At 42.1% G+C, this 10,385-nt stretch overlaps 1 protein-coding gene and 1 pseudogene across 2 annotated transcripts in view; both read left to right on the top strand.

Moving 5' to 3' along the window:
* ACBD3 (acyl-CoA binding domain containing 3) overlaps positions 1 to 3,080 on the top strand; it is a 42,063-nt gene extending 38,983 nt beyond the window's left edge. The window contains exon 8 of the mRNA NM_022735.4: positions 938 to 3,080. Within this exon, the coding sequence (NP_073572.2) occupies positions 938 to 1,149 (212 nt within the window). The 3' untranslated portion in view covers positions 1,150 to 3,080. The remainder of the gene's footprint in view (positions 1 to 937) is intronic.
* Positions 1,152 to 3,080, top strand: LOC124904586 (uncharacterized; annotated as a pseudogene). The gene is made up of 2 exons (XR_007067022.1): positions 1,152 to 1,164; positions 1,515 to 3,080. The product of XR_007067022.1 is annotated as an uncharacterized LOC124904586 (transcript).

The raw sequence follows: 10,385 nt of genomic DNA, 5'->3' as shown, positions 1-10,385 counted from the left end.
ACTCTTAACCGGGGCAAACCTTTCAGAGCCCATTTTTTGCCACTTAGATCATCTCTGGGTTAAATTGGCCTAGTGAAAATAATTGAATTTTCAGAGTATCTCTGAATGCCTATCTCTCTACTATGATTTTTTCATTTTACTGCTTATATTTAAGATATACAGAAAGCAATAGTCCTCACAAATCATCTTCCATCTTTCTAAAATGGGGAGGACTCATATTGGTCAGAAGGAGGATGATGAGAGCAACATTTTCATGTTACTCAGATGAGTGAAATTCCTGAGGATGAATTAGGAATTGAATGGCTATGGAAAGGGGAAAATGGGACCTTGAAATAGGAATGGTAGTAAGCACAGAAAGAGATAGGATGCTGACCACTGCTACCACTAGATGTTCATCACTGGGCTCCCAGGGCTCAGAACAGGGTTTGGTGTATAGCACATACTTAGGTATTTGAATGAATGAGTGAATGAATGAATGAATGAACGAACTAATAAATGCTCACATGCACATAACTTGTTAAATGGTTCAACAGAATTCCCAACAAGAGCAGTTTCTCAAAGAAAGGATAGGCTGGGCACGGTGGCTCACGCCTGTAATCCCAGCACTTTGGGAGGCCGAGGCAGGTGGGTCACAAGGTCAGGAGATTGAGACAATCCTGGCCAACATGGTGAAAGTCCATGTCTACTAAAAATACAAAAATTACCTGGATGTAGTGGTGCACGCCTGTAATCCCAGCTACTTGGGAAGCTGAGGCAGGAGAATCGCTTGCACCCAGGAGGTGGAGGTTGCAATGAGCTGAGATCACGCCGCTGCACTCCATCCTGGGTGACAGAGCAAGACTCTGTCTCCAGAAAAAAAAGAAAGGATAGATTTTAATTGCCTGATGCAAGTGTGGTTTTCCTGAATCTGTTCATTGACTTGTCTCTGTTCTTACAGAAAACATCGGTTGTGAAGAGAAAGCCAAAAAGAATGCCAACAAGCCTTTGCTGGATGAGATTGTGCCTGTGTACCGACGGGACTGTCATGAGGAGGTGTATGCTGGCAGCCATCAATATCCAGGGAGAGGAGTCTATCTCCTCAAGTTTGACAACTCCTACTCTTTGTGGCGGTCAAAATCAGTCTACTACAGAGTCTATTATACTAGATAAAAATGTTGTTACAAAGTCTGGAGTCTAGGGTTGGGCAGAAGATGACATTTAATTTGGAAATTTCTTTTTACTTTTGTGGAGCATTAGAGTCACAGTTTACCTTATTGATATTGGTCTGATGGTTTGTGAACTCTTGCTGGGAATCAAAATTTCCTTGAGACTCTTTAGCATTCATACTTTGGGGTTAAAGGAGATTCCTCAGACTCATCCAGCCCTTGGGTGCTGACCAGCAGAGTCACTAGTGGATGCTGAAGTTACATGAGCTACATGTTAAATATTTAAAGTCTCCAAAATAAAACACCCCAACGTTGACCTTACCCGGCTGATGGTTAGCCCCTTGCTGCCTGCTCCATGTGTCTTATGAGAGCCCGTAGTTACAGTGTCCTCTAATTTGAAATCCATAAGTTAACAAGTCTATATCAGGTGCAGCTGGCTTTGATTAAAGGCCATTTTTAAAACTTAAAAACTCAACACCTCACAGATTATAATAGAAAAAGAAATGGCCTCAGTTTGATCTCGTTCAGAATGACCCAGATTGTTTCTGCTTTGGGTGCAGCTGTTTAGTTCAGAGTTATATTACAGAGAATTATTTTCTGAGATAATCTTAAACTAGAATGTTCAAAACTAATTGATAATTGAAGTATCAAGATACGTAGAACACCTCAGAGATTTTTCTTCAGGAACTTCCACAAACTTTGAATCCTTGTATCTTTATTTGGTATTCATACTACTAGTAGCAAAATACAGGTTTTTTGTTTTGTTTTGTTTTGTTTTGGCTTCATAGAGTATCTCAAATTGAAACTTTTCTGCACAAAGAATAAAATTAAGGATTTTATAAACTCAAATTGGCACCTACTGAATTAAAATACATAAAATCATTTAAATATAATTCAGCATATGGGAAGTAACATTGCACTAATATGGAAATCACTGCCAGAGACAGTCTATTTTCTTTTAATTTGTTACTACTTAGTCACAAACCCCACATTATTCCAGTTTGGAATTACTTATTAAGGAGAATTGGAAATACATATGCCCATGCTTAAATTTTATAGCTTTAATTTGTGTTATTTCTTTATTGACGGGAAGAGGTACATCTTTTTTTCCTTACTGAAAACAAATATGGATTAATTGCCTCAAATTTGTATAAGTGATTGGCTAGTGATTCTTGTTTTCAGAAGGGAGAGTGGTATAGATAGAAAATGACAAAGATGGCAATATACACTTAATGTTGTTATTGTATGTTGTTACTGAAGTACTTAGATTTTTAAAATTTCAAATCCTAAATCACTTCTTGTAGGAGGGTTTTCATTAACTGCAGTATATACAGTTCACTACATATGGGTTGTTTGAGTTTTTTGTGTGCTGTATTTCTTTCTGTTTTTTAATACCTGGTTTTGTACATATCTAACTCTGTTCTCTTTTGGTTGTTCAGAAACTGGATTTTTTTTTTCTTAAGCAGTGCTTAATTTGTGTTTTTTAATTTTGATTCAGAAGTAGTCCCAGCTCATAGGTGTTCATACTGTTACATCCAGAACATTTGTCAGGCTCTCTGTCAGCTTTCATGTACATATGGTATAGAAACCATGGAGTTAGGCACTTCCTGGATTTTTTTTTTATGAGAAAAATACTGTATTTAAAATGTAAAATAAACTTTTAAAAAGCAGGCACTAATATATATTTCTTCCAGCCTTTGATTACAAATTTGTCCTTGCACATGTTAAGATGAATTATCTCCTAAAAATATCATTGTTCTTGGGAGCAGTGTATGTTACTTTACATAGCAGCGGTTCCTGTCATGTGTTCATGTCAGAATATTTTTGGTTTTAAACTTTCTTATTGCCTTTGGCTGTTGATTAGTACAGTACAAGTGCGATTTCAAAAAGATCTTGAAAGTAATATATTTAATCAATTAAAATGTTTATCTGTAACTTGTTGATGTTTCATTAATATAGTTACTCTCTGAAGCATTAGTACAGTATTTCAACATTTGGGTAGGAGAAAAAGAAATGTTTCAAACATCTTTTTTGTTTTAAAAGGCTCTAGTTGAAAAACAACTCTTTCTGGCCAATTATTTAGTTTTACTATTAATTACCTTAGTGAGTTAAAATAGATTTAAATTTTTCCACACTTTTAAATGCAAAGGCTAGCACTGATTTTTCTTATTGAAAATGACTAGGTTATAAAGTTGTTTCTCTACACTACCATGTATGTAGTGTGTTCCATTAAATATGTGGACCCCACACACTTTAATGGATCTCCAGAGGCAGAGCCCTCGCTTGCTCAGGGTGGATGATTGCAGAGCACTTGTGGGGAAGTGCGCGATCAGTGTGATGTGGAGTCCCAGAATGAGGTTGCTACATCCAGATGACCCCACTGATAGGCAGGGTGACTGGCATAATTTTTTTCTTTTGAAATCTGGGGAGACAGATGAGGTGACCATCTTGGTTATTTTTGCTGTGTGGGATACCATAAAGCCAGACTGAAGACGCATTAAGGAGAGCAGTTGAGGTAAGCACATCTTGGAAAGTATGCTACCGAGTCTTGACCATCTATCTTTTGGAGCAGGAGAAGCAACCGGTTCAAAATAATAAATAATTGCTAATAATTCATTAGGGCTTAAAGTTCAACAGTCAGGGGCCGGGCGCGGTGGCTCACGCCTGTAATCCCAACACTTTGGGAGGCCGAGGCGGGCAGATCACGAGGTCAGGAGATTGAGACCATCCTGGCTAACACGGTGAAACCCCATCTCTACTAAAAATACAAAAAATTAGCCAGGCGTGGTGGCGGGCACCTGTAGTCCCAGCTACTCGGGAGGCTGAAGCAGGAGAATGGTGTGAACCTGGGAGGCGGAGCTTGCAGTGAGCCAAGATCACGCCACTACACTCCAGCCTGGCTGACTGAGCGAGACTCTGTCTCAAAAAAATAAAAATAAAAGTTCAACAGTCAGTAGCTGTGCATGGGGGTGCACACCTGTAGTCCCAGCTACTCGGGAGGCTGAGGCATGAGAATCGCTTGAACCTGGAAGGCATAGGTTGCAGTGAGCCCAGATCACACCACTACACTCCAGCCTGGGCGACAGAGCAAGACTCTGTCTTGGGGAAAAAAAAAATAAAGTTCAACAATCTACAACCAAAACCATCTTTGCTTCTCTCCCTGGCTTTTTCTCAGTTCAGTACTTCCATCTGCAACCTAAAAACGTGTGCCTGTGTATCTACTTGGGGGAGAGCAGATCTTCATTTCTATTCATTAGCTTTTCAAATTACGTGTGAATCAGCATTGGACTTTTGTCTCACGTATATCTCAGTTCTTCAGTTTTCTTAAAATGTATTTTCTTTTTTCTTTTTTCTTTTTTTTTTTGAGACAGGGTCTCACTCTGTCACCTAGGGTGAAGTGCAGTGGTACAATCACAGATCACTGCAGCCTCGACCTGGGCTCAAGCGATCCTCCCACCTCAGCCTCCCCAGTAGCTGGGACTATAGGTGCATACACTACCATGCCTGGCTAATTTTTGTATTTTTTGTAGAGATGAGGTTTTGCCATGTTGTCCAGGCTGGTCTCAAACTCCTGGATTCAAGTGATCCACCCGCTTCAGCCTCCCAAAGTGCTGGTATTACAGGCATAAGCCACAGCACCCTACCCTAATTTTTTTTTTCTTTTTTTTTTTTTTTTTGGTGAGACGGAGATTTACTCTTGTTGCCGAGGCTGGAGTGCAATGGCGCGATCTCGGCTCACTGCATCCTCCGCCTCCCAGGTTCAAGCGATTCTCCTGCCTCAGCCTCCCAAGTAGCTGGGACTACAGGCATGTGTCACCACGCCCGGCTAATTTTGTATTTTTAGTAGAGACGGGGTTTCACCGTGTTGCCCAGGCTGATATCGAACTCCTGACCTCAGGTAATCTGCCCGCCTCGGCCTCCCAAAGTGCTGGGATTACAGGTGTGAGCCACCCGGCCACCCCGCCCTAATTTTTATATTCTTAGGAGAGATGGGGGTTCACCATGTTGGCCAGGCTGGTCTCGAACTCCAGACCTCAGGTGATCTGCCTGTTGTAGGCCTCCTAAAGTGCTGGGATTATAGGCGTGAGCCACCGTGCCAGGCCAATAAAAACGATTTTTATCTTTTTCCAAGGTCATTAACTTAAATGTCTCCAGTTAAAGGTAACACCTTTTTTGGGCATGGCACAGTATGGAAATGTGAACATGTTTTTCATAAGGTCTACATTTTGCAACTTAAAATTCCAGGTTGTGTTTTGGAGAACTTTTTTTTAATTTTTATTTTTTTAATTTTTTTGAGATGGAGTCTCGCTCTGTCGCCCAGGCTGGAGTGCAGTGGCACGATCTCGGCTCACTGCAAGTTCTGCCTCCTGGGTTCACGCCATTCTCCTGCCTCAGCTTCCCGAGTAGCTGGGACTACAGGCACCCACCACCATGCCCGGCTAATTTTTTGTATTTTTAGTAGAGACGGGGTTTCACCGTGTTAGCCAGGATGGTCTCAATCTCCTGACCTCGTGATCCGCCCGCCTCGGCCTCCCAAAGTGCTGGGATTACAGGCGTGAGCCACTGCACCCGGCCCGGAGAACTTTGAAGTATTGTTCTATCGTGTTCTTTTAATCAACTGTGTGTTCTTCCATAGAACGTCTTTTTGGCTGGTTTTCTGTTATTGAACATTTAGGTTACTTCTGATTTTTTTTGTTATCATTGTTATTAGAAGTGATGTTCCAATTATTTGTCTCTCCGCAAATCTGCATGAGGTTTTCAAAAGTATATACCAAGAAGTGGATACTGGGCCAGGTGTGGTGGCTCACGCCTGTAATCCCAGCACTTAGGGAGGCTGAGGTGGGCAGATCAATTGAGGCCAGGAGTTCAAGACCAGCCTGGCCAACATGGCAGAACCCTATCTCTACTAAAAATACAAAAAATTAGCCGAGCGTGGTGGCAGGCACTTGTAATCTCAGCTAGTTGGGAGGCTGAGGCACAAGAATCGCTTGAACTCAGGAGGCGGATGTTGCAGTGAGATGAGATCGTGCCACTGCACTCCAGCCTGGGTGACAGAGTGAGACTCTGCCTCAAAAAAAGAAAAAAAAAAAGTGGATACTGGATCATAAATTCTTGGCATTTTTATTTTATAAATAAATAAATTTATTCCTTCCTGAACTACTAGGGAGGCAGAGGCCAGAGGATCACTTAAGCACAGGAGTTGAAGGCTGCAGTGAGCTGATGGCACCACTGCACTCCAGCCTCAGTGACAGAGCAAGACTCTGTCTCAGAAACAGAATTCTGAAAAGAAAAGAAATTCTTATACATGTCTGCTTATGCTCATGTGCAAGTTTCTCCAGTGTTTATACCAAGAAGCAGAATTGTTAAGCCGTAACTATGTAGGTCTATTTTAGACAATACAAAACTGCTCTTCAAACGTGGTGCCAATTTAAACTGCCAGTAGTAAAAGAGTTCCTGTGTTCCATATCTTTGCTGAATTGTCAGATTTTGTAATTGTACCAGTTTGGTGGGGTGTAAAACAGAATCTCATCTGTGGTTTCAATTTATATTTTCTTAATAACCAGTGGAGCTGGGCGCAGTGGCTCACTCCTGTAATCCCAGCACTTTGGGAGGCCGAGGTGGGCGGATCACTTGAGGTCAGGAGTTCAAGACTAGCCCGACCAACATGGTGAAATCCTGTCTTTACTAAAAATACAAAAATTAGCTGGGCCTGGTGGCGCGTGCCTGTAATTCCAGCTACTCAGGAGTCTGAGACAGGAGAATCGCTTGAACCCAGGAGGCGGAGGTTGCAAGAGCCGAGATCATGCCATTGCACCCCAGCCTGGGCAACAGAGTGCCACTCCATCTCAAAAAAAAATAAAATAAATAAAAAATAATAAGCATGAATAACCATCTTTTCATATGTTACTGGCCTTCTGTGAGTTGTATATTTATATCCTTTGTTCATTATTCTGTTGTACATGTCTTGATTTGTAGGCGTACTTTAAATATTCTGGATACTACAGTCTTTTTGGTCGTGCGCATCATAAATAATTGGTGCCACACTTTGGGTTTTTGGTCTCGAACTCCTGACCTCAAGTGATCTGCCCGCTTCAGCCTCCCAAAGTGCTAGAATTACAGATGTGAGCCACCACACCCAGCCATTTTTTTTTTTTTTTTTTTGAGACAGAGTCTCACTCTGTCGCCCAGGCTGGAGTACAGTGGCACCATCTCGGCTCACCGGAACCTCCACCTCCCAGGTTCAAGCTGTTCTCCTGCCTCAGCCTCTCAAGTAGCTGGGATTACAGGCACCCGCCCCCATGCCGGGCTAATTTTTTGTATTTTTTAGTAGAGACGAGGTTTCACCATGTTGGCCAGGCTGGTCTGGAACTTCTGACCTCAGGTGATCCACCTGCCTCAGCCTCCCAAAGTGCTGGGATTACAGGCATGAGCCACTGCACCCAGTCCTCATTTAGATTTATTAAACTTTCATGGTTCGAGCTTTCCATATGTTTTGTTTGTGACATGGTCTCTCTGGAGTACACTGGTACAAGCCTTGAACTCCTGGGCTTAAATGACCCTCCCACCCCAGCCTCCCAAAGTACTGGGATTACAGGTGTGAGCCACTGTGCTTGGCTTCCCCTGCTCCTCAGATTCTTCAGGTAGAAACTTAAGTTATTGATTTGAGCCTCCCTTTTTCTTAATCCAAAGCTAAAAACTTTTGAGTGTTGCTTTTTTACATCTCATAAATTTGGATATATTGGGGTTTTGTTTGCATTTAGTTTAAAATTCTTTTTTTTTTTTTTTTTGAGACGGAGTCTCACTCTGTTGCTCAGGCTGGAGTGCAGTGGCATAATCCTGGCTCACTGCAACCTCCGCCTCCCAAGTTCAAGCGATTCTCCTACCTCAGCCTCCCGAGTAGCTGGGATTACAGGCACATGCCACCATGCCCAGCTAATTTTGTATTTTTAGTAGAGACAGGGTTTCACATGTTGGCCAGGCTGGTCTCCAACTCCTGACCTCAGGTGATCCACCCACCTAGACCTCCCAAAGTGCCAGGATTACAGGCGTGAGCCACCGAGCCCGGCCCAGTTTAAAATATTTTCTAATTTCCTTTGTGATTTCTTCCTTGTTACATGGGTTATTTAGAAGTGTATTAGGCTCCATGTATTTGAGGATTTCCCAAGTCTTTTTCTGTTGTTGATTTCTAATTTAATTTCATTATTTCATTTTTTTTTTTATTTACCAAGGCTTGTTTTATGTCCCAGAATGGTGTCTTTTAGTGGATGTTCCATGTTCACTTGAGTAGAATGTGTAGTCTGCTGTCATTGGGTGGAATGTTCTGTAAATGTCAGCCAAGTTAAGTTGGTTGGTAGTGATGGTAAGGTTTGCTTGTTCTGTCAGTTACCAAAAGAGGAGTTTTGAATTATTCAACTAAATTGTAGATTTGTTCCTCCCCCGCACCCCCCACTTTTTTTTGGCCATTTTTGCTTTATTTATTTCGAAGTTTTCTGTTGGTGTATACACGTTTATGATTGTATGGCTTCTTGATGAACTGACCTCTTTATTATTATGTAACATATCTCTTCATGTCTAGTTATATTCCTTGTTCTGAAGTCCATTTCATCTGGTATTAGTGTTGCCACTCGTGCTTTCTTTTGATTAAAGTTCACATGATATATCTTATTCCATCTTTTTATTTTTTTATTTTATTTTATTTTATTTTATTTTTATTTTCTTGAGACAGGGTTTTGCTCTGTCCCCCGGGCTGGGGGACAGCTTAGAGCCCAGGAGGTCAAGGCTGCGGTGAGTTATAACCGGTGGTGCAGTTATAACTCACCGCAGCCTTGACCTCCTAGGTTCTAAGCTGTTCTTCTGCCTTAGCCTCTCATGTAGTTGAGACTACAGGTTTGCACCACAACACCTGGCTAATTTTTTTTTACTTTTTGTATAGACAGGGTCTCACTTTGTTGCCCAGGCTGGTCTCTAACTCCTGGATTCAAGCCATCAACCCACCTTGGCCTCCCAAAGTGCTAGGATTACAGGCATGAGCCACTGTGCCCAACCTATCCATCTTTTTACTTTTTAACTTATCTATGTCTTTATATTTAAAGTGGGTTCCTTGTTGACAGCATATAATTTGAGTCTTTTTAAAATCCAATCTGACAGTCATTTTCTCTTAATTGGCATGTTTAGACAATTTACATTTAATGTAATTATCAATGTGATTGGATTTAAATATACAGTTTTGCTATTTTCTCTTTGTCCCATCTGTTTTTTTTTTTTTTTTTTTTTGAGACAGAGTTTTGCTCTTGTTGCCCAGGCTGGAGTGCAATGGCGTGATCTCGGCTCACCGCAACCTCTGCCTCCTCGGTTCAAGTGATTCTCCTGCCTCAGCCTCTCAAGTAGCTGGGATTACAGGAATGTGCCACCACGCCCGGCTAATTTTGTATTTTTAGTAGAGACAGAGTTTCTCCATGTTGGTCAGGCTGGTCTCAAACTCCTTACCTCAGGTGATCCACCCGCCTCGGCCTCCCAAAGTGCTGGGATTACAGGCATGAGCCACCGCACCCAGCCCCCATCTGTTCTTGGGATTATTTTTTCCCTTTTGTATGGCCTTCTTTTGGATTGAGTATTTTTTATAGATCTGTTTTCTCCTCTTATTGACTTATTACATTAGTTCTTCTGTTTTATTTTTAGTTTTGTTGTTTTTTAGTGTGCTTGGATCCAAAATATATATCTTTAACACAGCACAGACTACTTTCAAATATATTACACTACTTCACATACAGCATAAGAACAATACAACAGGCCGGGTGTGGTGGCTTACACCTGTAATCCCAGCACTTTGGGAAGCTGAGGTGGGTGGACGGCTTGAGGCCAGGAGTTCGAGACCAGTCTGGCCAACATGGTGAAACCCTGTCTGTACCAAAAATACAAACAATTAGCCGGGGGTGGTGGCAGGCACCTGTAATCTCTGCTACTCGGGAGCTTGAGGCAAGAGAATCGCTTGAACCCGGGAGGCGGAGGTTGCAGTGAGCCGAGATCGTGCCGCTGCACCCCAGCCTGGGCGTCAGAGTAAGACTCAGTCTCAAAAAAGTAACATTACAGCAATATATTTCCATTTCCTCCCTAGTAGTTTAAGAGTAGATTCTTGCCTGATTTTTTCTGGAGACAGAGTCTCGCTCATTCTCCCAGGCTGGAGTGCAGTGGCGCGATCTCAGCTCACTGCAAAGCACCACCTTCCGGTTCACGCCATTC

The sequence above is a fragment of the Homo sapiens genome, chromosome 1 (genome assembly GCF_000001405.40).
Source record: "Homo sapiens chromosome 1, GRCh38.p14 Primary Assembly".
Classification (NCBI taxonomy): domain Eukaryota; kingdom Metazoa; phylum Chordata; class Mammalia; order Primates; family Hominidae; genus Homo; species Homo sapiens.
Note: the sequence above shows the minus strand (reverse complement) of the source record. Positions and strands in the feature narration are given on the sequence as shown.